Source organism: Homo sapiens, chromosome 4 (assembly GCF_000001405.40).
Source record: "Homo sapiens chromosome 4, GRCh38.p14 Primary Assembly".
In the NCBI taxonomy this organism is placed as follows: domain Eukaryota; kingdom Metazoa; phylum Chordata; class Mammalia; order Primates; family Hominidae; genus Homo; species Homo sapiens.
This window is the reverse complement of record NC_000004.12, coordinates 107,708,516-107,735,515: the sequence shown is the minus strand read 5'-3', so window position 1 is coordinate 107,735,515 and position 27,000 is coordinate 107,708,516. Positions and strand designations below refer to the sequence as shown.

The following is a 27,000-nucleotide window of genomic DNA, read 5'->3' as shown; positions in this document are numbered from 1 at the left end:
CAGTTATTGGTGTATTAACTACTGAATAACTAGCACCAGTATCAACTTTAACCAAGGCTCCTTTGGGGAAATTTTGATGTCAGTTAGAGTTGGAGCTGCTGGGAGTCTTGGGCACCCTCAATCTTCCTCGGATTCATTTTTGGGCTTGACAGCCATAAGTGACCTGGGTTCCTTCTGAGTTAACTTGGGGCAGTCTCTCTTCCAGTGCCCTATTTCCTGACAGTAAGCGTACTGGTCCTTTTCTATTTTCCCTTTCTGCCTTGGGGGTCCTTTTTTCTCGGGTTTCCTCCTGCAGCTGCCAGGAGTACAGCTGCCTGCTGAAGTGCCTTGGTTTCCTTGGCCTCCCTGCTATTATATACCTTGAATGCAATGTTGATTAATTGGGAAGCTTCATTCCAACAGCCGCCTCCACTTTTTGTAGTTTCTTCCTAATGTCTGGGGCACTTTGCCCTGTAAAGGTCATATTCACCATTCTAATGTTTTCAGGGTCCTGTGGGTCTAACTCTGTATACTTTCTATATGTCTGACAGATCTGTTCCATAAATTCTGAGGGGTCCTCAATAGGTGTCTGCTAAAGTGCCTATACTTTGCTCAGACTTTCAGGTCTTGGCACCCTTGATCCAATGCCCTTTAGGATGCACTTTCTATAGTGTTCCAGATGATTCATCCCAGCTCCACCTGCCTCATTAGGATCCCAATTTAGGTCAGTTCAGGGAGTTGCCTCTTTAAGGTCTGGGCTATCATTGGGGCTTTCATCATGAAGGCACTATGCCTCCTCTAACACTAGCCTTCTAACACTAGCCTTCTCTCATCTGCCGTGAGCATGATGTTTAGGAGGGCTTGCACATCAGCCCATGTAAGGCGATGGGTAGCAAAGATAGCAGTAAACAATTCGGTCATTTTCTGGGGATCCACCCTGTAGGAAGAATTGGAATTTTTCCAATTCAGTAAATCAGACATAGAAAAGGACTATATGCCCAATAATATCCTGCCGGAGCTCCTTGCTAATGAACTCCCACAGGATATTGTTGGAGGGAAAATTGCCCTGCTCCAGGCTCAGTGTCTCCCCAGTCAAAATTAGTGCCTTGTCTATTATGGGAGGGAGAGACTATTTTTGCAGCCTCCTCCTATTCCAGGGGTGAAGGCCCTTCCCCCTTCTGAGCCAGTGGCGGGGCATTGGCTCCCTCTGGGTCGCCACCTACTGGGTTAAGTACATTTAACACTTGTTGAGTCTCTAATTCCTTTTCTCCCTCTCCCTGGGACTTGAGACAAACCTTGTCTGAGTGCTGCACCATTAGCTTATTTCCTTTGACCTCTTGATTATGCAGTAACATAAACGCTTGTACATAAGGCTCTTCTGCCTGTCTTCCCTGACACTGACAAAACTGTTCTGATAGATAGTAAAGTAGCTTAAAGATCAAAAAATTGGCCACCATTCCCCAGATCCCAAAACATATGTTGGCTAAACCGTATTACAATAGTGAATCATTTTCTTTTTAGTAATGGGAGGGTACCCATACTGTTTCCAATCCAACAGGATCTTTCCCAGAGGGCTCCCTGGGGGAAGGGAGCAGCATTCCCCATCTTAAATTCAGCAAGGCTATAGGTACAGACACAGAGATAGTTTCAGATAGACACGGACAGAGAGATAGTGTCAGATAGACACAGAAGGAAGTGCACCTAGGTGAAAAAGGCCTGCAAACCAAACAGCAAACGGGAGTACAAAAAAGACCTATTATCTTCCTAATGGTACTGAACAAAAGGCTTAATAGCCCAGATAAGGAAATAATATATGGTCTGGTTTTCCTCACTCTTTGAGCACATCTGCTTCTGCCAAACTTCCGTTCTTTCCCAGGTGATGAAAAGGATGTGTGGTTTTGTCCAAGGGACAGCCCTCAGTAGAGTCCCCAGGACAATCTTACCCAGCAGCTGCTGGGAGTTTCCTCACGACTGTCTCATTGCAAACTGCCAGCATCAAAGGCAGCCACCATCCTGGCGGCCTCCTGGCTGGCTCGACAAAATTTTTGTTCCTGGAACCAAGCTGGATCTGGCTGTGTTTTCTCGAGGCCCAATAATGAGAAGCAGACAAACTTGGAAAGAAGGGAATTTATTGCTGTAACTGGATACAGAGAGAAGGCTGGAGATAATTCCACCAGACCAATTCAAAGTGTTACAACTTTCTTGGTGCTTATATAGGTTGGAGTTATGTGCCTACATGCAGTATAGCATTTGCCTAAGTCTATTGGTAACTAATTTTGTTTCAACTAGAAGGTCAGAGGCAAAAGTCTGATTAAAAGGGCCCCAGTACCTTCAAGGCCTGCCTACTGTGGTACCAGAGTGATTATTTCTATCTTATGTCCTTTACAGCTTGTCTGGAGAGCTGCCTTAGACTCTCCAATGAATCTGTTCAAACAGCTGCCTCTGTTACCTTGACTTGTCTCAGATATGGGTCCTGGCACTGGGAATGTAAGACTGTCTCTATTATTTTGGTTTGCTCCAGGTTAGGGAGAAGACCATGGAAGGCTCCTACTGACCATATGTTTCACTTCTATCTCTGATGTCTGGGCACTGATTTCCCTAGGCTTAACTATTTGCTCAATGTTAAGGCAGCTCTGTGGAAATTAGTCTGTGTAACTGAAGTGCTATGCAGGCTTGTCTGTGTGATTGTCAGGGAGAATTGGCCTGCCACAGAACATATCCTCCAGTATTTCCTTGAGAAAGCGTATATAGCAATTCCAATTTCTAACTGAAAATACTTTCAGAGCTCTGAAGGTATTGGTCCATTTGTCTTCTAACTTGCAGTCTTTTTCTTGACAACTTCTAATTCATTTTTATTCCTGACTCTTTGTTCATGAACTCTTCTTCTCTTTAGAGGCTTGCAGGGTTTCCAAACAATTTCGAACTATTGTATAACAGTATTCTGAAACTTCATGGTGCTATGCTTTATGCTTTTTCCGTGCTTGATTTTATCTGTTGAGTTAGGCATTCAGGGAGGCATTTCAGTTCTAGGAAATTTCATTAAATAATTGCCATGGTTATTTCCTTCTGTGCGTTTTCTCTGTTTTTTTTTTTTTTCTTCGTAGAACTTCTAATACTTGGATGTTAGATTTCCTGGACTGTTCTTTTCTTTCTTTTCTAAAAAATTATGCTGTATTTCCCATCTCTTGGGATTTTTGCTCTGCATTCTGAAAGATGTATCAACCATTTTCCCCCATTCCTGCTACCATATTCAGGAAACCAATTTTGGTTCCTGAATATTTATGGCTTTGCCATTTCACTGATAAATCTTTCAGCATATATCTCACTAATATGTTTTGGCTCTGTGTCCCTACCCAAATCTCATCTTGAATTGTAATCTTGACGTGGAGGGAAGGAGGTGATTGGATCATGGTAGTAGTTTTCCCCATGCTGTTCTCATGATAGCGAGTGAGTTCTGACAAGATCTGGTGGTTTTATAAGTGGCAGTTTTTCCTGTTGTTTGCTCTTCTACCTCCATGTAAGATGTGCTTGCTTCCCCTTCCATCATGATTGTAACTTTCCTGAGGCCTCCCCAGCCATGTGAAACTGTGAGTCAATTAAACCTCTTTCCTTTATAAATTACCCAGTCTTGGGTATTTCTTTCTAGCAGTGGGAAAATGGACTAATATACTCTTAACTGACTTATTTAAAAAATATAATAACACTGCTATTTATCACACCAAAAAAGTAAGTCTTTTATATCGAGTTCAGAAACTCTTCAAATTTCCCATATAGTCTCATAAATTTTTAAAAAATTTCTTTTGTTTGGATCAGTGTTCAAATATGTTTCAAATATTTTAATTGCTCCATTTTTATTTTATATCTTATTTTATTCTTTAGTTTTTCCTCATTTATTTTTTCCTATCTTTGAATTACTGAAAACTCAGGTCATTAATGTTGTAGTTTTCCAGAGTTTGGGTTTGACTAATTGCATTTGTGGTGTTTTCACCTCTTCCTCTTTCCTCTGCATTAACTGCAAACCTATAAATTGTCCTGAAGACTTGATTAGAACCAGATTTGATTTGACTTTTTCATGATTTTCATCAGGAGGCAAAAAGTTATGGTGTTCTTTATTTTCATGATATTTGCAGCCATTGAGGATGTGACGGTTAATACTGAGAGTCAATGTGATTGCATTGAAGGATGCAATATTGATCATGGGTGTGTCTATAAGGTTGTTGCCCAAGGAGATTAACATTTGAGTCAGTAGGCTGGGGGGAAGGCAGATCTACCCTTAATCGAGTGGGCACCATCTAGTCAGCTGCCAGTGAATATAAAGCAGGCAGAAAAACGTGAAGAGGCAAGATGGGCCTAGCCTCCCAGCCTACATCTTTCTCCCATGCTGGATGCTTCCTGGTCTTGAATATCAGACTCCAAGTTGTTCAGTTTTGGGACTCAGACTGGCTCTCCTTGTTCCTCAGCTTGCAGACAGCTGAGGACCTTGTGATTGTGGGACCTTGTGATTGTGTAAGTTAATACTTAATAACTCATTTATATATATATCTATATATCTATGAGTTTAAGTAAAAAAAAATATGTATATATATCTCCTATTAATTCTGTCCCTCTAAGAGAACCCTGACTAATACAGATTTTGGTACCAGGAGTGGTTCTAGAGGAATAGAATATTAAGGATGGAGTTCTTTCATTGGTTTTGGGGTTTCTGGAGTTGTCTTCTTAATATGATTAGACCAAAAAATGCTAAGGACTCTACTTCTAATAATATGGAGAACACCGATAGTCCTTGGCAGAAACTGTTTAGAGAGTTACGCCAAATAAATACATTTGACACTCCTGATTCACCGCTCGTGAGAGGCAAGGAGTTTAGTGACTATACAGAATACCCTTGACCATATGTGGAGAACCAAGGAGCATAATGAAGCTAGTTGGTTGCTCCTAAGTCCAGTGGACAAAGTGATAAAACAAAATGATACACTCAGGGATTTTGTCTCCCAGCTTCAGAAGAAGATACTGAGCCTCAAGTCTGCTAAGATTGCCCTAAGTGAGATTCTTATCTCCTGCAGAGAAACTGCTATAATTGTGGAAAAACAGACACAAACTCTTATCATGCGAGTGGCTGACCTGCAATGAAAGATGCATGCAGAGCTTCGCCAGGTGCCTACTGTTAAAGTGAGGGCATTGATTGGAAAAGAATGGAACCCTGCAACTTGGAATGGGGATGTGTGTTGGGGCGGGTGGGGGGGGGGGCCTGATGAAGCTGGGACACTGAGTTTGTAAACTCTGATTAACCTTTTTTGCCAGAAGAAACAGCTTCCCCATCTCCAGTAGTGGCAACATCCCCTCCCTGACCCATGCTGCCATCAGCCTTTTCACCTTTGTCTGAGGAGATAAATCCTGCACTGCCTGAGGCAACAGCGATGGCTTCCCCTGAGGCAGTTGCCAGTCAAGATAATGATGGTTTTTCTCAGAAGCCACCCCCAACACCTCTGTTTGCCTCTAGATCTGTAAATAGACTGAAGTCCCAGCGGACCCCTAGAGGTGAGGTTGAAAGTGTGACCGATGGGGAGGTGCGCTACACTGGAAAATAACTGTTTGAGTTCTCTAATTTATTTATTTATTTTTATTTATTTATTTTTTGAGATGGAGTCTCACTTCTCAGGCTGGAGTACAGTGGTGCCATCTCGGCTCACGGCAAGCTCTGCCTCCCGGGTTCACGCCATTCTCCTGCCTCAGCCTCCCAAGTAGCTGGGACTACAGGTGCCTGCCACCATGCCCGGCTAATTTTTTTGTATTTTTTAGTAGAGATGGGGTTTCACCATATTAGCCAGGATGGTGTGAGGAAAAGAAAGAGAGATCAGACTGTTACTGTGTCTATGTAGAAAAACGAAGACATAAGAAACTCCATTCTGATCTGTACAAAGAAAAATTGTTCTGCTTTGAGATGCTGTTAACCTGTAACTTTAGCCCCAACACTGTGCTCACAGAAACATGTGCTGTATTGAGTCAAAGTTTAAGGGATTTAGGGCTGTGCAGGATGTGCCTTGTTAACAATATGTTTGCAGGCAGTATGCTTGGTAAAAGTCATTGCCGTTCTCCATTCTCTATTAACCAGGGACACAATGCACTGTGGAAAGCCACAGGAACCTCTGCCCAAGAAAGCCTGGGTATTGTCCAAGGTTTCCCTCCACTGACACAGCCTGAGATATGGCCTCGTGGGAAGGGAAAGACATTACCATCCCCCCCAGCCTGACACCCGTAAAGGGTCTGTGCTGAGGAGGATTGGTAAAAGAGGAAGGCCCTTTGCAGTTGAGATAAGAGGAGGGCCTCTGTTTCCCACATGTCCCTGGGAATGAAATGTCTTGGTGTAAAGCCGACCATTCATTCTATTCTGAGATAGGAGAAAACTGCCCTGTGGCTGGAGGCAAGATATGCTGGCAGCAATACTGCTCTGTTACTCTTTGCTACACTGAGATGTTTGGGTAAAGAGAAACATAAATCTAGCCTACATGCACATCGAGGTATAGTACCTTCCCTTGAACTTATTTATAATGCAGATTCCTTTACTCACATGTTTTCCTGCTGACCTTCTCCCCACCATCATCCTGTTCACCCTGTTCTGCTGCACTCCCCTTGCTGAGATAGTGAAAATAGTAATCAATAAATACTACAGGAACTTGGAGACTGGCACCGGTGCAGGTCCTCACATGCTGAGTGTGCCTGTCCCCTGGGCCCACTGTTCTTTCTCTATTCTTTGTCTCTGTGTCTTATTTCTTTTCTCAGTCTCTCATCTCCACCTTACGAGAAATTCTCACAGGTGTGGAGGGGCAGGCCCCCTTCAGATCGTCTCGATCTCCTGACCTCGTGATTAGCCCGCCTCGGGCTCCCAAAGTGCTGGGATTACAGGCGTGAGCCACCGTGCCCAGCCTGAGTTCTCTAATTTATATAAATAGCAATCTGGAGAACAAGCATGGGAATGGATATTAAGGGTGTGGGATAATGGTGGAAGGAACATAGAGTTGGATCAGACTGAATGTATTGATTTGGGTGCACTAAGTAGGGATTCTGCATTTAAAGTTGCAGTTCAGGGAGTTAAAAAAGGTTCTAATAGTTTATTTGCTTGGTTAACTGAAATATGGATTAAAAGATGGCCCACTGTGAGTGAGCTGGAAATGCCTGATCTCCCTTGGTTTAATGTAGAGGAAGGGACCCAAAGGCTTAGGGAGATTGGGATGGTGGAATGGACTAGTCACTTTAGACCTACTCATCCCAGCTGGAAGGATCCAGAAGATATATTCTTGACCAATGCCTTGTGAAATAGATTTGTGAGGGCAGCGCCTGCATTTTTGAAGAGCCCTGTAATTGCTCTTCTCTGTATGTCAGATCTAACAGTGGGACCACAGTCACTCAATTACAAAATTTAAACACAATGGAAATAATTGGATACCGAGGTGGCAGGGGCCAAGTGGTGGCACTCATCTGTCAAAGGTAAGGTGGGCATAGCTAACAAAATGGACAACAGAGACAAAGTGGCAATCAGAATTTGTCTGACACGTTTAGAGCTCTGGCATTGGCTAATTAATCATGGTGTTCCTAGAAGTGAAATTGATAGAAAGCCTATTGCATTCTTACTTAAATTATACAAACAGAAAACTTCTAGGTCGAATGGACAAAAGACTAATTTGAATTATAAAAACAGAGGCTCATGCCCCTCAATCAATTTCCAGACTTGAGCTGGTTTACAGACCCAGAACCCCTTGAATGAAGGGGAGGCCCAGTTCCCTTGAGCAAGGACCCCACTACATTACTGACAATGTATGCAATGAATCTTTTCTCCCATCCTTCCCCAAAAAGACCTCTGGCCTTTTACCAGGGTAATTGTGCATTGGGGAAAGGGAAATGATCAGATATTTTGGGGACTACCGAACACTGGCTCTGAGCTGACATTGATTCCAGGGGACCCAAATGTCATTGTGGTCCTCCAGTTAAAGTAGGGGCTTATGGAGGTGTGGAGGAAAAGTTAAACATTAAATCTGAACTCAATTGAACATAGACAGAAACAACAGTCACCAAGTCCCGTAACAGGTTGCATGAACCCCTTGAGGCGTTCATCCAGCATTGTTTCGCAGAAATCTGTTCCTGTATGTTAGTTATTGAAAAACAACAGACAATCGCAAAAACAAGTTGACCTTTTTGTGTTCCTTGAAGCCAGGCACAAAGGGCCCTCGTGACTGGGACTCATGCCAAACAACTCGTTATAAACAAGCTAGGGTCCCAGACCACACTGAAGCTCCACAAGACTCCTCCTCGTCTGTGCACAGATGGGTGGCCAACTCTGGAGCCTAGGCTGTTGCATCCCAGTTTGGTGATGATTCCGCCATAGTTTGGTGAGTGTGTATGTGTGTGTGTGTATATATATACACACATATATATACACACAGTTTTATATATATATACACAGTCATATATATGTGTATATATATATGTGTATATATATATGTATATACATATATTGTATATATATATATGTATATATATATATGTATATATATATACCCTCTCCCTTTCCCACTGTGATTTGTTTCTTATATGTGTATTGCCATATACTTGGGATAAAGTCTGTTTACACTTAAAAGTATTGTGTGTGCCTTTTCTTTTCCCCTCGTGTGTTTCCTGTAAAGAGCAGGAGGTTAGTAATTCATGGAGTTTTAGCTCAGGTCCAACTTATAGTGGGTCCAGTGGGTCCCTGGACTCATCTTGTGGTCATTTCCCCATGACAGAATGCATAATTGGCATAGACATCCTTAGCAGCTGGCAGAACACCCACATTGGCTCCCTGCCTGGAAGGGTGAGGGCTACTATGGTAGGAAAGGCCAAATGGAAGCCATTTGAGCGGCCTCTACCTAGAAAAATAGTAAATCAAACAAAAAGTAAATCAAAAAATAGTAAATCAGAAACAATATTGCATCCCTGGAGGGATTGCAGAGATTAGTGCCAACATCAAGGACTTGAAAAATGCAGGGGTGGTGATTACCACTGCATCCCCATTTAACTCTCCCATTTGGCCTGTGCAGAAGACAGATGGATCTTGGAGAATGACAGTGGATTACTGTAAGCTTAACCAAGTGGTGACTCCAATTGCAGCTGCTGTACCAGATGTAGTTTCATTGCTTGAGCAAATTAACACATCTCCTGGTACCAAGTCATTGACTTGGCAAATGCCTTTTTCTCCATTCCTGTCTATAAGGCTCACCAGAAGCAACTTGCCTTCAGCTGGCAAGGCCAGAAATATACCTTTACTCTTCTACCTCAGGGGAATATCAACTCTCCGGCTTAGTGTCATAATTTTATTTGGAGAGATCTTGATTGCTTTTTGCTTCTGCAAGATATCACACTGGTCCATTACATTGATGACATTATGCTGAATGGATCAAGTGAGCAAGAAGTAACAAACACACTGGACTTATTGGTGAGACATTTGTGTGCCACAGGATGGGAAATAAATCCAACTAAAATTCAGGGATCTTCTACCTCAGTAAAATTTCTAGGGGTCCAGTGGTGTGGGGACTGTCGAGATGTTCCTTCTAAGGTGAAGGATAAGTTGCTGCATTTGGCCCCTCCTACTACCAAGAAAGAGGCACAACACCTAACGGGCCTATTTGGATTTCGGAGGAAATACATTCCTTATTTGGGTGTGTTACTCTGTCCCATTTATCAAGTGACCCGAAAGGCTGCCAGTTTTCAGTGGCGTCCAGAACAGGAGAAGGCTCTGCAACAGGTCCAGGCTGCTATGCAAGCTGCTCTGCCACTTGGGCCATATGACCCAGCAGGTCCAATGGTGCTTGAGATAGCAGTGGCAGATACAGAGGCTGTTTGGGGCCATTGGTAGGTCTCATAGGTGAATCACAGTGGAGGCCTCTAGGATTGTGGAGCAAAGCCCTGACATATTCTCCAGATAACTACTCTCCTTTTGAGAGACAGCTTGTGGCCTGTTACTGGGCTTTGGTGGAAACTGAATGTTTGACTATGGGTCATCAAGTCATTATGTGACCTCAACTGCCTATCATGAACTGTGTGCTTTCTGACCCATCTGGCCATAAAGTGAGTCATGCACAGCAGCATTCCATCAGCAAATGGAAGTGGTATATTTGTCATAGGGCTTGAGCAGGTCCTGAAGGCGCAAGTAAGTTACATGAGGAAGTGGCTCAAATGCCCATGGTCCCCATTCCTGCCACCCTGCCTTCTGTCCCCCAGCCTGCACTGATGGCCTCATGGGGCGTTCCCTATGATCAGTTGACAGAGGAAGAGAAAATCAGGGCCTGGTTCATAGATGGTTCTACATGATATGTAGGCACCACCCGAAAGTGGATAGCTGCAGCACTACAGCCCCTTCCTAGGACATCCCTGAAGGACAGCAATGAAGGGAAATCTTCCCAATGGGCGGAACTTCGAGCAGCGCACCTGGCTGTGCACTTTGCATGGAAGGAGAAATGGCCAGATGTGCAATAATACACTGATTCATGGGCTGTAGCCACTGGTTTGGCTTAATGGCCAGGGACTTGTAAGAAGCATGATTGGAAAATTGGTGACAAAGACATTTGGGGAAGAGGTATGTGGATGGACCTCTCTGAGTGGTCAAAAACTGTGAAGATACTTATATCCCATGTGAGTGCTCACCAACGGGTGACCTCAGTGGAGGAGGATTTTAATAATCAAGGGGATAGGATGAACCATTCTGTTAACAGCACTCAGCCTCTTTCCCCAGCCACCCCTGTCATTGCCCAATGGGCCCATGAACAAAGTGGCCATGATGGCAGGGATGGAGGTTATGCATGGGATCAGCAACATGGACTTCCACTCATGAAGGCTGACCTGGCTATGGCCACCAATGAGTGCCCAATTTGCCAGCAGCAGAGACCAACACTGAGCCCGCAATATGACACCATTCCTCAGGAGATCAGCCAGCTACCTGGTGGCAGGTTGATTATATTGGACCTCTTGCATCATGGAAAGGGCAGAGGTTTGTCCTCACTGGAATAGACATTTACTCTGGATATGGGTTTGCCTATCCTGCATGCAATGTTTCTGCCAAGACTACCATCCGTGGACTCACGGAATGCCTTATCCACCATTATGGTATTCCACACAGCTTTGCCTCTGACCAAGGCATTCACTTTACCACTAAAGAAGTGTGGCAGTGGGTTCATGCTCATGGAATTCACTGGTCTTACCATGTTCCCCATCATCCTGAAGCAGCCGGGTTGACAGAACAGTGGAACGACCTTTTGAAATCACAACTACAATGCCGACTAGGTGACAATAGTTTGCAGGGCTGGGGCAAAGATTTCCAGAAGACCGTGTAGGCTCTGAATCAGCATCCAATATATGGTACTGTTTCTCCCGTAGCCAGGAATCACGGGTCCAGGAATCAAGGGGTGGAAGTGGAAGTGGCACCACTCACCATCACCCCTAGTGATCCACTAGCAACATTTTTGCTTCCTGTTTCTATGGCATTACATTCTGCTGGTCTAGAGGTCTTAGTTCCAGAGGGAGAAACGCTGCCACCAGGAGACAAAACAATTCCATTAAACTATAAGTTAAGATTGCCACCTGGACACTTTGGGCTCCTCCTACCTCTAAGTTAACAGACTAAGAAGGGAGTTACAATGTTAGCTGGGGTGACTGACCCAGACTATCAAGATGAAATCAATCAGTCTACTACTCCACAGTGGAGGTAAGAAAGAGTACACATGGAACACAGGAGATCCATTAGTTCGTCTCTTAGTATTACCCTGTGATTAAGGTCAATGGGAAACTACAACAGCCCAATCCAGGCAGGACTACAAATGGCCCAGACCCTTCAGGAATGAAGGTTTGGGTCACTCCACCAGGAAAAAAAAACCACCACCTGTTCAGGTACTTGCTGAAGGCAAAGGGAATACAGAATGGGTAGTAGAAAAAGGTAGTCATCAATACCAGCTATGAGCACATGACCAGCTGCAGAAACGAGGACTGTGATTGTCATGAGAATTTCCTCCTTCTTTTGTTAAAAACATGTTTGTGCATGCATACACTTGTACTAAGAAAATATCTTCATTTTATTTCCTTTTCCTTTATCATGTGATATGAGATTCACTGACTTCATATCAGCATTTAAGTATTGTTAACTTTATGTAATAGTATGTGAGTTGGGGACTGCATTTCCAGTTGTACAAAGGACAGTTCAGTTATGTTAGACATAATTATGACCTTATTATTGTCTTATTTGAAGATTATGAATGATCTCAGGAGATGTGTATGGGTTCAAGTTGTCAAGGGGTGGACTTGTGATGGTTAATACTGAGGGTCAACTTGATTGGATTGAAAGATGCAATATTGATCATTGTCAGGTTGTTACCCAAGGAGATTAACATTTGAGTCAGTGGGCTGGGGAAGGCAGATCCACCCTTAATTGAGTTGGCACCACCTAAACCGCTAACAGGGAATATAAAGCAGGCAGAAAAACGTGAAGAGGCAAGATAGGCCTAGCCTCCCAGCCTACATCTTTCTCTTGTGCTGGATGCTTCCTGCCCTTGAACATCGGACTCCAAGTTGTTCAGTTTTGGGACTTAGACTGGCTCTCCTTGCTCCTCAGCTTGCAGGCAGCCTATTGTAGGACCTTGTGATTGTGTAAGTTAATACTTAATAAACTCCCATTCATATGTATATATCCTATTAGTTCTGTCCCTCTAAGGGAACCCTGACTAATACAGAGGATCATTGTCTTTATCCATTATTTCAGTAGAAAATGAAAAGTGGTGATATTAAAATGATATCATTTCTTCTTTATTTATTAGTGGTACTTCTGTAAAGAGAAACTTCTCTTTATCAATTTTTTGGGTCCCAGACAGTCCAGGGAAAGCAGAGTAAATGCTTAATTCATCCCCTTTATTTACCAGTTTTCAAAATAATGAGTTGGTTTCCTAGCATTCTCTAAGAGTGACAATAATTTTTTTTAAAATCATCATCATTACAAACACCTAGATTTAAACATATTTGATATGTTTTAATATTTTGTAGTTCTAGTCCATTTAGTGCTTTAATTCTCCCATCTTTGACATGGAAAAATTTCTTTAAATTGGTTTCTGAGTCCTTTTGACATAATCCGAGTAGCTTTTGACAGTTTTTTGTTATGTTTCCTGTTTGATGTTTCTGGCTCATTTGCATGACCCATATCTGGAATCATGAATTTGGATGGACAGTATCAATGTAAACTTATGATATATTTTACCTTAAAAAAAGTCTTTTACTAGAAATAAGGTCAAACTCACAGCAGTGAGCACTCCTAGAGCCAGATCGTTATATCTAAATACCATTTCCCTCTAATAAGAACCAGAACTCAGAGCAATGGCTAACTTCAGATGTGGCCCTATTTTCTCATATGAAGCTTGAGATCTTCTTCCAAGCTCATTCCTGTTATTGGCAGAATTTGAAATTATATTGAAATTCAGTTCTATGTATGAACCCCAGATTGAAAATTCCCTAGAAAAAAAGCTGAAGGGAACCATTCACATTTTAAGTAGTCAAGTAACAAGATCAGATTTCTGTTTCAGAAATACCGCTCTGACAGCAGGTGCAAGAATGGGGTGTGTGGCGGGGATGTGGAGAGCGGCTGCACAGCTGGGAGGATGTCCAGTGAACGGGCTTAATGATAACTCAGGCTGGATATAGGGGAGGCCTAATTTAAGACAGTAGCAGTGGGGCAAATAGATGGAGGGCTGATTTGCTAGTCACTAACAGGCAGCAGCCTCAGGTCTTGGTGATGGGGGCTGATTTGCTAGTCACTAACAGGCAGCAGCAGCAGCCTCAGGTCTTGGTGATGGGGGCTAATTTGCTAGTCACTAACAGGCAGCAGTCTCAGGTCTTGGTGATGGGCGGGGTCAGGGGCGGAGGGCGGCTGTGTCACAGGGGGGCAGAGCTGCAAGCAACTCTTTTGGTGCCAGGGGCAAGCTGCGGAAAAGAGAACTCAGAGTTATGGGGGGTGTGGGGAAGATAACTCCTGGAGGAAACTCTGTCATGCCCCCAGCCCATCCTCCTACGAACTAGCCCTGGAATAATTAGGTGAATTTGAAAATGTCCTCCGTAGGCGGGAGTTCTATTCGGGGTTACCTGCGGCCTCCCCGGTCCTGGATTTCAGTCCTCTAGGTATTTCCTGAGTAGCTCTTAATAATACAGAAGCCCCTTTCCGGTGTAGGTCGGTAAGAAGCACTGCACAGAAATCTGATGCGAAGTGGGGTCTCCTAGCGGAGAGGGAGGCACCTTATAAGTAATCACTAATCCAGGTTGAGATATTAATTATTGATGTCAAGAAATCGGGCTTTTATTATATCTTTTTAAAAACTGTGTCTTGAGGCCAGGCGCTGTCGCTCACGCCTGGAATCCCAGCACTTTGGGAAGCTGAGGCGGGCGGATCATGAGGTCAGGAATTCGAGACCAGCCTGGCCAACATAGTGAAACCCCGTCTCTACTAAAAATACAAAAATTAGCCGGGCGTGGTGGCACACGCCTGTAGTCCCAGCTACTCGGGAGGCTGAGGCAGGAGAATCGCTTGAACCCGGGAGGCAGAGGTTGCGGTGAGCCGAGATCCTACTACTGCACTCCAGCCTGGGCGACAGAGCAAGACTCCGTCTCAAAAAAAGAAAAAAAATTGTGTCTTGAGTAGAATTTTAATGTGGAGAATGAGCTGTTCGGTAAATCAATTCTTCCCTTTGCAAAGCTGTAAAACATTTAAAACATTTGGCCAGGGTGACATGGGCACAGAAGGGGCAGACAGGAGGTCGGCAGCCAGGTCTGTGGAGGAGTAGCCACAGGTGCAAGAGGCCGCGTCAGCGTCCTCCCAATCAGCCTCTGCTGAGGGAGTGCCGCGCGCGGCGAGCCGCGCACTCCCCTTGCCTTTCTCCCGGCGGCTGGTACTCGCTCTTAGAGATCTGCGTTAGCTCAGAGCTAGGCTCGGTGCCGCAGAGGCACCTGAGGTTCCACGACTGCATTCCAGGCCCCGCCCCTTCATCGGGATCTGGAAGGAGGAGCGCCGTGCGCGCCCGCGCCGGCGCGAGCGCTGAAGCTCCGCCCCCAGCTTCTACCTCCGGTTCTATCCCGGCGTTTCGCCCTTCCCCACAGACCTCTGCCCCGGACCCATTTCCGAGGCGCGCCGCATGCGCCGCGCAACCCAGGCCACGAGCACGGGCGCGTGCTTAAGTCAGCGCGCGCCCGCTCCGACGCGAGGAGGCCCCGCCCTCCAGCCCCGCCCCGCTCGCTGGCCTGCCCTCCTCTTGCTACCCTCCCGGCGCAGAGAACCCCGGCTGCTCAGCGCGCTCCGCGGTCATGGAGATCCCCGGGAGCCTGTGCAAGAAAGTCAAACTGAGCAATAACGCGCAGAACTGGGTAAGCTGGGGACGAAGGCGAGACGGCGAGGAGCGGAGGGGCTGTGGGAGCAGCTCGTTCCGGAGCCGCCGCCTCTCTCCCGCCTCCTCCGCATCCATCCTTCCAGGAGCGCGGAGGTGGGTTCCGGGGCTGCGGCGCCTCCCGGCTGGGGCCGTGGGTGGTTGCGAGGCAGAGGGGCGCGGCGCAGGGTGGGGATCTCGCCCTAGCTTGGCGCAGCGTGCGGTCCGAGCCACCGTTCGTGGGAAGAACGCCCCCCCTCCCCAGCGCCTCCGCTCAGGTAAGACCCCCAGGAAAATCCTTCACCCGTGAACTGGCGCTTGCTGAAACCTCCGGGTGCTGAAACCTGCGGCTGCAGAAACAGGAGCTTCCTGCATACCTTGGAGTGGCCTGAAGATGTGCAGAGAAGGCGGAGGCGGGCGCCTTCGACGCGTTCTTGGTTTTTCTTGGCTCTGCCAGTGCGGTTGGCCCAGGTTTGGGTCCATCTCCGTGTCTTTCCATTTCTGAGTTTCAGTGTGAAAGGAGAGTACCCAACAATGTGGTCATTCATGAGTTGAGACTGCCCTGAACTGAGGTTCTTTGTGTCTCTGTGTTAAATCGGAATGTTTAACAAGTAGGAGTTTGGAAGACTCCATTCCTGGTGACAGTCAGGTATGGGACCAGTCCTTTATAACGTTTAGTAATGACTGCCAGTTGACTTTGTAAAGTGCTGTGTCCTCATAACGTTGCTTACTTCCTTAATTTCTCTGTGATGAGAAAGAGCCTTATCTTCCTTTGTAAGTGTGCAGCAGGGAAGGGCCCATCTTTGGAGTCTGGAAAGGCACTGGTTTAAGTTTAGACGGAAACGTTATTTCACAGTCCAATGGAATAATAAGGTTTAAATGCAATGTCTCCCAAAACGTTACTTGCCCTAGATGAATCAAAGAAAAAAAAAACAAGCAATTTCAGGCAAATGTTCTTTGGAAGTCATTAATTTACCACATCTGTTGTTATTGTTATCATGAGTTGTTTACTGATTCCTCTCTCCTTTTATTTAACTCTATAGATGGTAAGGAGGGGAAGGAGATTTAAAAGATGAATTAGAACAGTGGAAAGAGCGCTGGACTCCTGGCCTGGTCTCTCATCCCAGCTTTGCCATTTACTAGCTGTGTGATCTTGAGGAGAGTCACTTTACTTTTTCGAACCTCAGTTGACTTAAGGGTATAATAGTATGTACTTCACGGGATTGTTTTGATGAACAAAGAAGACAGATCATGAATTTGAATGTGCGGTGAAACCACTGCCTTGAAACTCAGACTCAGTTTCGCTTCTCTTACCTTAAGGTGTTTCACGGTTAGGGAAATAAGGTTGGCTTACTTGGGGTATTTACAGATGATTTCTGTTACATTGTCCATTTATGTACTCATTTATTTATTAACATTTGCCACATGGTGCGTATTCTATGTAGAGACTTGTGCTAGACATGGTGGTGAAAAATGTGGGACTTACTGCTTGCCTTCTGGTAGTTCATGGTTTGTGTTGGGGTTGTGACATTTGCCAAGTGGTGAATATGTCTTTGTGGTCCAGAGTGAGTGGCGTAAGACAGAAGTTTTATTGCAATTTAGAGGAGAGATTAGTTTCGCCTGGGCGTTTTGGGAGGGTTTATGGAGGATTTCAGATTTCTGAGTCAGAGGGGAACTGCATGGATAAGTGTTGGGAATAAAAATTACTATTTTTTTTACTCCAGAAACATTGACGAAACTTGTTTGACTGCCCTGGAGAGTTTTTGTTGGGAAGTGGAGGTAAGGTTCAATAGGGAGGCTGGGGCTCCGTGATGCTCTTGTGTTTGGCTGCAGAGAAGACTTGATTCTATGGGGGATTTTTGATGGGGCTAGAATTTTAAATTTTCTGATCCTTGTAAATTTTTCTCTCCCTCATGGAACACCCGTCATCTCTTCCTCTCTCATATTTAAATCATCTTAATAGGCACAAGTGTGAAGAACCCATATACCTTTAAAATTCCTATCACAGGATAAAATTGGTAATCCAGGAAGAATGTTCCGCTGAAGAAATGTAGACCCTGGTAGGACCCAGATGGGGAAGCCCTGGAGACCAGACAAGGTTATAGTAAGGTTTAAATGAATTAATAGATTTGAAGCCTGCCTGGCACATGAGCACTATTTATGTTCTTGTTAATTCATCCAGTGTGAGGGGCTGAAGGGCTGGGGTAAGGTGGCAGTGGGACTAGAGGAGTAGCTGCATTAAAAACATTTAAGGAAGAGTTGAGAGGACCGACTAGATTTAGGGGATGAAAAAGGGAGGAATGTTAGAAGATGATCCTGAAGTTTTGGTCTGGGAAGTGGGGAGAAAGGTTGTTACCTGTGTGGAAATTGGGAAGTAGGTTGGGCACGGGGGTAAGGGTGATATTAGTTAAACACAAAGGAGAGTTTAGTGTGTGCCAGGAACAGTTTGAAATGTTTTACCTATATTAGCCCATTGAGTTTTTGTTACATTTCTGAGGGTGAATATTATGAGAGACAGTGGTTAAAAGCAGGACCCTGGAGCTGACTGCCTGGGCTGAAATCTGGACTCCACTATTTATTAACTATGTAACTTTTGGTTGGTCACTTAATTTCTCTATGCCTCTATGTGCTTATCTATAAAATGAGAATGATAGCCTCACAGGGATATTGTGACAATTAGAGTTAGCTCTTACTGTTATCATCCTCTATTACAATTAGCATTTGCATTTTATAGATGACAAAACTGAGGCACAGAGATGTCATGGAGCTTGTTAGTGCTGGACCCATTTTAAACCTGTTGCATTTGAGGGACAGCCTTAGTAGAGATAGTCTATAGAGGAAATATGAGCCATGTATATAATTCAACATTTACTAGATACCACATTAAAAAGTAAAAAGTAACCGCGAAATAAATTTCAATAATATATTTAACCTACTATATCCCAAATGCTATCATTTCAGTGTTTTTTCAATGTTAATATAAGTTCAACACTATCATAATTAATAAAGAGTTATAGAAATCTGGAGTTTTTTTTTTTTACAGTTAGTACACATTTCACTTCATACTATCCACTTTTCAAATAGTAGGGACATGTGGATAACATAGTTACAGAAATTGAGTTGTGCTGAGGTTGGAAGTAAAGGTTTCATAGTTAAATTTGAGTTAAAGAATATAAGGAAAGTAAATGTGAGACCAAATACTAAGCTTTGGATAATAGCTCCTGTTAAGGATTAGGTAAAGGAAGTGTACTCGTGGGAGACAATAGGCAAAGAGATGGGAAAATGTAGTCTTACAGCTCTGGGAAATGGTTAGAATTACAGGAAGTTAAAGTTGTCCATATACCTGTGGGAATAGTAAAGAAAAACCAAGAAATTGACTTGCTCTTGGAGCTGCCTCTTACTTCAGTCTGATAAAGCGTCAGATATAATGAATATCATTTTCTATCCAATTGAATCTTTCTCCAATGGGACCAGTTTTCATCTGCCCTTGGGGATGTGTTAGTTGGGCTGAGGGAAATTTGGGACACTCAGTTCAGGCCCAGGTGTCATTCACCCATTTTGTAGAATCATATTGGGCTGAAACCCTGTTGGACCTGCCTTACAGTGGAGTAGTGTCCTAAAAGAAGCGTTTGAAACTGGACGTGACATTAAGAAGCATATGCAGTCTCTGGTTTGCTTTTCCATTCACCTTTCACAACTCCCTGAATTTCCATAGCTCCAGCCCAACTTTCTGTCCATATCATACATCCTCATGGTTTTACACAAGCCTTTCCTTCTCCCTGGGATGCCTGTTACCCTTTGTCAGGGGCTGAAATGTTTAGAGCCTTGGACCATTTTACCTTAACAAATGTGTGGCCCTCATAGGTACATATGTTCACTTGCTCGTGGGCTGAATTGTTTGTGCTCTTCTGCATTATGTTGCATTCTCTCTGCTATTATGTATCTTGTGATCATACTTCATTATAGATGTTTTGTATCTACACTGAGCTTTTCCTGATATAACAGAATTGGGGATAAGGGGCAGATGCAAAGTAGCTCGGTAGCTCTGATATTGAAATCCTTAGATAATTCATTAGTATCTTACAAAAGCTTAAGTAACGGAATAAGCTCCATATGTGGGAGGATTCAGATTACGGTTTTGTCACTTACCATCTGGGTGATCTTGGGAACATTATTTAACTCCTTCATCTCTCAATATCCTCATCTGTAATGAGATAATAAAACATAACTCATAGTGAGGCTAATGGTGCATACCATATGGGGTTATAGTGAGGTTTAAAGAAGTTAATATATTTATAAAACTATGGTTCCTGGCACATGAGTACTATTCTTGTTCTAATTATTTATTAGCTCCTCAAATATTTAACACTTAAACTTTGTATGTGCCTTTGTTCCAGGTCCTGAGGATGCAGTGGTAAAAAGACAGAAAAGTGTCCTGTTTCATGGATATTACATTCTACCTGGGAGACAGTTAATTAAACCAAATAAATGAATGAAATAATTTTCCCTTTTACCAATTCTATCTTTCCCAAACAGCTTGTCTCCTTATATGTGGATGTTTTTCGTAGAAGGCCAGCAGCACATTCTGGATTTAGCTGAATACTCAGATGATACAAAAATGAAATAAGAACAGAGAAGTGGAACAGACAGCCAAACAAGAGGCCAATGTACTTGTCCTTCAGAGGATTGGCCTGGGTGTGGTCAGGGGCAGGCATTGGTCTTTTATTTCCCCCATCCCCAGGTTTAACAGAGAATTGATCTTTCTACCCTGGGAAGATGATACTAAAAAAATTGCCTGATGAAAAGGGAAGCTTAAACTTCTACCAATAACAGCAATAAGACGAATGATAGTGAGGTCTAGATCTGTGTTGTCCGGTTCACGATCCACTTGTGGCAACTGAAATTTAATGAACATTAAGAAAGTAAAAAATTCTATTTGTTAGTTGCAGTAACCACGTTTCAAGAGCTGCGTATGTGGTTAGTGGCCACAGGAATTGGACAGCACAGTATAGAACATTTTCATCATCTCAGGAAGCTCTATTGGACATTGCAGATCTAGATGAAGCTTTGTGATGGCTGCTATTTTTTTTTTCTACTTATCTGTGTGTTTATGTATTCAGGTATTTTTACTCTGTTCCCAAGAACAGGAAATTTCCAGAGTGAGTGGATACTTTGAAATTTTAGTTTTGGGCAGTTTTGCACCCTGGCTTCTGGTAGCATGTCCAGCAGTATTAGCCTCCCCTTAGCGTAGTTGCTTCTTCAGATTTGAAGTGTCAATATGCTTCCCAGCCTGGGTGTGTTACATTGAATTTTGAGGAGTAGTTCTCTATGCCAGTGGTTCTCAATCGTGAGATTTTACCAGCCCTAGGGGGCATTTGGCAATTCTGGAGACAATTTTGGCTATTCTACTTGCGTATGGAGGGGGATAATTCTTCTAACATCTATTGGAAAAGATTTCTTAAAAAAACCTAAATTTCTAAAAAAAATTCTTAAATCTGAAATGCAAATGTAAAATCCAGTTGAAAAATCCAATTGTTGTGGCATTTTTTTCCCCCATCAGCCTGGAAGTTGCCATTTCTTACTCTGAGATGGATCAGTTACTCATAGCATACCAGTAACAAGACAGGAAAACCCCAATCCTGAATTGTTTTGAAATCAGATTAAGTAATTAGTTCAAATGGAGGGAGTGATTTTTCTTTTTGGTGTTAAGCGGTAGTAGAGAGAATGTTCTCAGGGAGACTATTGCAGTGGCTATAGAGACTTCTGCAGTGGAGTTTTGCCGTAGGGGAGAGAGATTGGGCTCAGTTCCAAATACAGTAAGGAAAAGTGGGAATTTATGGTGAGGGAGCAGGGTGGGGGTCGGTGGATGGAAAATTACTAAGAGGAAACATTAAGAATTAGGGAGTATTCTGACTAAAACGATTTAACAGGGTTCTTGCTGAAGGCAGGCAGGCCAAGGTGATCAGACATCATTGGGGGATGGTGCAGCTTGAAGAGTTTGGTCAGCTATGGAGGATGGGGGATTTCTGCTAAAATTGGACTCTTGAAGACGTGCCCGAGGATAGGGCCCAGTTGAAAGAGGGTTCAGAAGGAGCCTGCCTAGTTTGATCAAGGAGAGAAATCTTGTCGGTGGTAATCGTTTCTGTGACATATCTTTTCCTAAAGACACAGTTGTTAAATTTTAACTGAATAATGATGGTGGAAATACCAGACATTATGTAGAGAAATTCAGTATCTGTCTTTGGATGAATGCAGCCATTGTGCAGGCTGTTTTCTCTTATTCTTCTCTCTAGTTACTTTGGTGCTTGCATACCTTACCTCTGTCTTTGTCTTTCATATTTTTTTTTCTTTTTTTTTTTTGTTTGAGACAGAGTCTTGCTCTGTTGCCAGACTAGAGTGCAGTGGTATGACCTTGGCTCACGGCAACCTCCACCTCACTGGTTCAAGTGATTCTCCTGCCTCAGCCTCCCGAGTAGCTGGGACTACAGGTGTGCACCAACATGCCCAGCTAATTTTTGTATTTTTAGTAGAGATGAGATTTTACCATGTTGGTCAGGATGGTCTCGATCTCTTGACCTCGTGATCTGCCCACCTCGACCTCCCAAAGTGCTGGGATTACAGGCGTGGGTCACCATGCCTGGCCTGTCTTTCATATTTTTAAGTGTACAATTCAGTGGTTTTTAGTATAGCCAGAGTTGTACAGCCATCACCAGAATCTAATTTTAGAACATTTACATGTCCCCAAAAAGAAACCTTATACCCATTAGTAGTCATTCCCCAGGCTCTGCATTTTCTCCTAGCCCCTGACAACCAATAATGTACTTTCTGTCTCTATGGGTTATGCTATTGTGGGCTTTCCTAGAAATGAAATTATATAATCTATGGCTTTTTGTATCTGGCTTTTGTCACCTAGGATAATGTTTTCAAGCGTCATCCATGTTACAACATGTATCAACTAGCCTGGCCAACATGGTGAAACCTCGTCTCTACTAAAAATATGAAAAAAATTAGCCACGCATGGTGGCATGTGCCTGTAATCCCAGCTACTCAGGAGGCTGAGGCAGGAGAATCGCTTGAACCAGAAGGCGAAGGTTGCAGTGAGCTGAGATCATGCCACTGCACTCCAGCCTGGGCAACAGAGCAAGACTCCATTTTGTATTTTTTTTTTTAATAGTTCATTCATTATATGGTTGAAGAAAAAAATCCCATTGTATGGATAATAACACAACTTTTTTTTTTTTTCTTTCCCGAGACGGAGTCTCGCTCTGTCGCCTGGCTGGAGTGCAGTGGCGCAATCTTGGCTCGCTGCAACCTCCGCATCCCTGGTTCAAGCTGTTCTCCTGCCTCAACCTTGCGAGTAGCTGGGATTATAGGCACGTGTCACCACGCCCAGCTAATTTTTGCGTTTTGAGCAGAGACGGGGTTTCACAATGTTGGCCAGGATAGTCTCGATCTCTTGACCTCATGATCCACCCGCCTGCGCCTCCCAAAGTGCTGGGATTACAAGCATGAGCCACCACGCCCGGCCACATCTTCTTTATTCATCAGTTGGTGGACATTTAGGTTGTTCCTACTTTTTGGCTATCATGAATAAATGCTATGAACATTTGTGCATAAGTTTTTGTGGTTAGTCTTATGTGGTTTTAATAGTTAATTTCAACCTTTGAGGTGGACATTAGTGTATTTTGGCTGCCCAGTCTCTGAACCTCCCTTGTATGTGTGGTGAATGCCTCACTGTGTTTGTGTTAGGAGACAGGGTCTGTTACAGATTAATGATTTCTTTATTTACCTATGTATAACTAGTTCTTTTTATGAAATGTTTTTGTTTTTATTGTGTCCTGAGTGTCTAGAAAGGATCAAACAACAAATAATGAATGAACAGATAGTCCCAGGCCCATTCTGACTTCTAGGAGTGTCTTAGGGCCGGAATTCCCAGTTGGAGGTAATGGAATGGAGGGCCCTTCCATTAAAGGTACTGATATAAAAACCTATTAAATATTTAGAAGTTCTTTAATCTTTAACAGAATAGTTGGAGAGCCGTAATGTGTATGCAGAGTGTATGCATGACAGATGGTACTGATGAGATAAGCATGCTAGTAACTTAGTCCTGATTCAGGACGTCTGTGGTAGGGCCTGAGATTTGCTTCCTAACAAGCAGCCAGGCCATGCCAGTGTTGCCACACAGCATATTTTGTAGTAGCAAAGTTTTAAGAGTAGCCTTTTCAAGTTGTTTTCTCAACATCCTCCAGGGATGTATGATCTTCACTTGCTTTTTATCATTGACTTATTAATATTTAAAATATTAATTTCAGTTATTAGTTAACTCTGTGAACTAAAGGTTTTAATTATCAAGAACTCTGTGAACTAAAGATTTCTTTTCATTGTATTCTACAGTCTCTCATTTATCCATATTGTTACGATCTCTACAGTTTCATCCATATTGTGTCTAGGGACATAAAAGAAATGTGCCTGTTACCATTTCAGGGATTTCTCATTGGAGGAATACACTGTTTATCAGTTTAGGGTGGGTGATAGGATGGATGAAAGATGTTGAAGTCCACAATTATGCTTAGTATTTGGTATATGCTTTGTGTCTTTATACATTTCACTTAAAAATGCACAATTCTTTATAAAATGATGAAAAATTCACAAAATATGAAATTCTCTAAGTAGCATCACAGAGAAGTTGATTTTCCTTACAGGCAAGTGGATAAAATAACAAAACGGCCATGTGGAAATTAAGATGGGTCAAAAAGGGCCACTTGTGTCATTGATGAGGATGGAAGTTTGTAGTATGTACAGAAAATGCATACCACAAATATCAGAGGACATGCAATATTAGCCTAGTGACAGGATTGTTAGTCATTTAGTTCTAAATGTAGTAAATATTAAATGGCCTTGCAATGAATTATTCCATTTCTGCTAGATTTAAGATTTCCAAATATCAGTCATCATTTCATTTGCAAGTTACACAGAGAAAACAAACCATACTTTAAAATAAATGTCTTGTATCTAGCTTTTATGAGTACTGACTAGTAACAAAGGAGGTTGGGCATTGTGGAAAATATGGATAATTGTAACTCATTGTAAAGAACATGGCTGTGCTTTGGTCAAGGATAGGTCGAGGCAAACGTCCAGAATGACTCAGCGAGTTTACAGCGCAGGTATATAACTCCACTTGTTATCACAGCCATGTAGCCATAACATGAGAAGGTTCATCATTTGGCTGTAAGCCACTATTGTCTGTAAAAGATATAATTGCCCTGCTGACATTGTATGGGTGCGCTTGCACCCAGAGAAGGAGAGAGAGAGCCAGAGCTGTCCATCTTTGCAGATGGACAGGAGCGAGCCAGGACACAGCTCGTCTTGCTCACACCCAGAGAGAGAGAGAGAGATTTAAGCTGTTGACCCTGAACGGAGAGCTGGCCATGTAGCTATGTGTGGGAGCTGCTGGACTAAGCAGTCAAGACAAGGCAAACAGTGTGAGAGAGCTAATGTGAGTGAGCTGCTGATGAGAGAGCTGCTGAGTAAAACTACCTTTCACCTGCATATGCCCCTGAGTGTTCTTTCAGCTATCTGCTCATCCACTTACTCCCTTCGGACCCCAGCATGAGCTGGAACCTGACCCCGAGCAGGACACTCATAGTCCTTGACCTACTTTCTAGGAAATAATATATAGGCACAAGAAGACAAATAAATGTGTTAATGGTACATAAATAACAAAAGAATGATATGGGCAGTAAATGTTATAGGGACTTCCTAGGTACACATACTTACACTGAGCCAGATATACATATATATATATTTTTCTACAAAGCACCCAGACTATTAAGTAAGAAGCACTAAGCTTGGTTTCTCTCTCCTGTGTATGGAAACTAGGGCACAGAAGACTCAGTATAGAAATGTACTTTAAAAAAAAATTCCAACCCAGAAAGCCAAGAATAGAAATTTAGAGGTGGAAGGAAGTAACTCATTCTCAACCCTTAATGAGTCATTAATGTCATGTTTCCTCAGCAGAATTATAGAAAGGATTTGGCTGAAGTGGGTGCAGAAGGAAGGAAAGGGGAAGTAGAAGAAGATTACATGTATAAGTGGCTGTGGAGTCTAAAAATTCAGGCCTAAGTCTACCACTTTGCAATTCTGTAACCACCCAATGCGTTCATTTTGCCTGCTGCCCACAGGCAAATTTATCAAGACAGGGTAATTGCAATAGAGAAAGAGTTTAATTCATGCAGAGCCAGCTGAACAGGAGACTTTTATTATTGAACAAATCAGCCTTCCTCAAAATTTAGAGGCCAGAGTTTTTTAAGGATAGTTTGGTTGGCAAGGCAATGGGTGCAGCCAGTTCGTTGGGGATGTAATCATAGGGGTGTGGAAGATAGTCCTAGTGTGTTAAGTACACTTCTGGTTGGGAGCACACAGGTGGTTGGTGGGTCCAGGTGGAGCCATTGAGAGTCAGAAATGCAAAAACCTGAAAAGACATCTCAAAAGGCCAATCTTAGGTTCTACAATAGCGATGTCATCTGCAGGAGTAACTGGGGAAGTTGAAAATCTTGTGACTTCTGGAATAGTGGCTGGTAATCATTTATGTTTACACCTTGGGAGGATTCAGGCTCCTCTCATCTCCTAACCTGGTGGTCTTTTATTAGCTTTAAAAGATGGTTTACTTTTGGGGAAGTAGTATTATCATTTAAACTAAAAACTAAATTTCTCCCAAAGTTAGCTTGACCCAAACCCAGCAATACCTAAGGGCAGTTTGGAGGTTAAAGGCAAGATGGAGGTTGGTTAGATCAGATCTTTTTCACTGTTAACAATTTTCTCACTTGTAATTTTTGCAAAGGCTGTTTCAATTCCAGTAGTTTTATAAAAGTGCTCTTTGATTTACTTTGAAAAATTGGGAGTTAGGACAATGTGGCAATTTTTTTTAAGTTTATTTTTTAATATGAAAAATATTGTTAAAAACTTTAGCTGAATTAAATTTAAAAGAGTTTGAGCAAAGAACAATTCGTGAATCAGGCAGCCTCCTGAGCCAGAGTAGGCTCAGAGGCTCCAGTGCAGCTGCATGGTAGAAGATTTATGGACAGAAAAAGGAAAGTGGTGCACAGAAAATGGAAGTGAGGTCCAGAAACAACTGGATTGGTTATAGCTCAGCATTTGACTTATTTGAACATGGTTTGAACAGTTGGCCACATTTGATTGGCCAAAACTCAGTCATTGGCACAAGGGTGGATACAGTCTGTTTGTCTCCAGCTAGGTTAGTTTAGTACATATGGAGAAACCTTTAGGCTGAACTTAAAATATGTAAAAGAGGTAGCTTTAGGCTTAACTTGATTTAACAATATCAAACATACATAAACCAAAAAAAATCTCCTTATATCCAGAGTACTATGTTTGCTGCCAGAATCTTTTTAAATGTAGGAGGCAAGAAACTGAGGGAGCATTCTTTTTAGAGATTAAAACAGACGGTCTCTACTTACCCTGTCTGTATTTTTTCTCAGCCATATTCTCAGCAGTTGATAGCTTGACAGATAATTTTTATGCATTCTAGCTTGATTTGATAAGAAAAGCAGAAGATATTTTACAGAGCCCAAATCAATTAAAATTC

At 43.0% G+C, this 27,000-nt stretch overlaps 1 protein-coding gene across 3 annotated transcripts in view, besides 4 other annotated features; it reads left to right on the top strand.

Moving 5' to 3' along the window:
• Positions 915-1,445: an enhancer, noted in NCBI's record as "NANOG hESC enhancer chr4:108655227-108655757 (GRCh37/hg19 assembly coordinates)". NCBI's record gives its function as "activates a minimal SCP1, AML or CMV promoter by ChIP-STARR-seq in primed H9 embryonic stem cells {active_cell/tissue: H9 hESC(primed)}" and the evidence as "EXISTENCE:reporter gene assay evidence [ECO:0000049][PMID:30033119]".
• Positions 13,830-13,979: an enhancer, noted in NCBI's record as "active region_21790". NCBI's record gives its function as "activates an Ori minimal core promoter by ATAC-STARR-seq in GM12878 lymphoblastoid cells {active_cell/tissue: GM12878}" and the evidence as "EXISTENCE:reporter gene assay evidence [ECO:0000049][PMID:35858748]".
• Positions 15,090-15,339: a silencer, noted in NCBI's record as "silent region_15612". NCBI's record gives its function as "represses an Ori minimal core promoter by ATAC-STARR-seq in GM12878 lymphoblastoid cells {active_cell/tissue: GM12878}" and the evidence as "EXISTENCE:reporter gene assay evidence [ECO:0000049][PMID:35858748]".
• The window catches only part of PAPSS1 (3'-phosphoadenosine 5'-phosphosulfate synthase 1), a 106,569-nt gene continuing 94,850 nt past the window's right edge, over positions 15,282-27,000 (top strand). The window contains exon 1 of one of the 3 annotated variants that reach the window (NM_005443.5): positions 15,282-15,396. In NM_005443.5, the coding sequence (NP_005434.4) occupies positions 15,337-15,396 (60 nt within the window). In that variant the 5' untranslated portion in view covers positions 15,282-15,336. The other 2 variants (XM_011532401.2, XM_011532400.3) reach the window with 2 other exon arrangements.
• Positions 15,970-16,029: an enhancer, noted in NCBI's record as "active region_21789". NCBI's record gives its function as "activates an Ori minimal core promoter by ATAC-STARR-seq in GM12878 lymphoblastoid cells {active_cell/tissue: GM12878}" and the evidence as "EXISTENCE:reporter gene assay evidence [ECO:0000049][PMID:35858748]".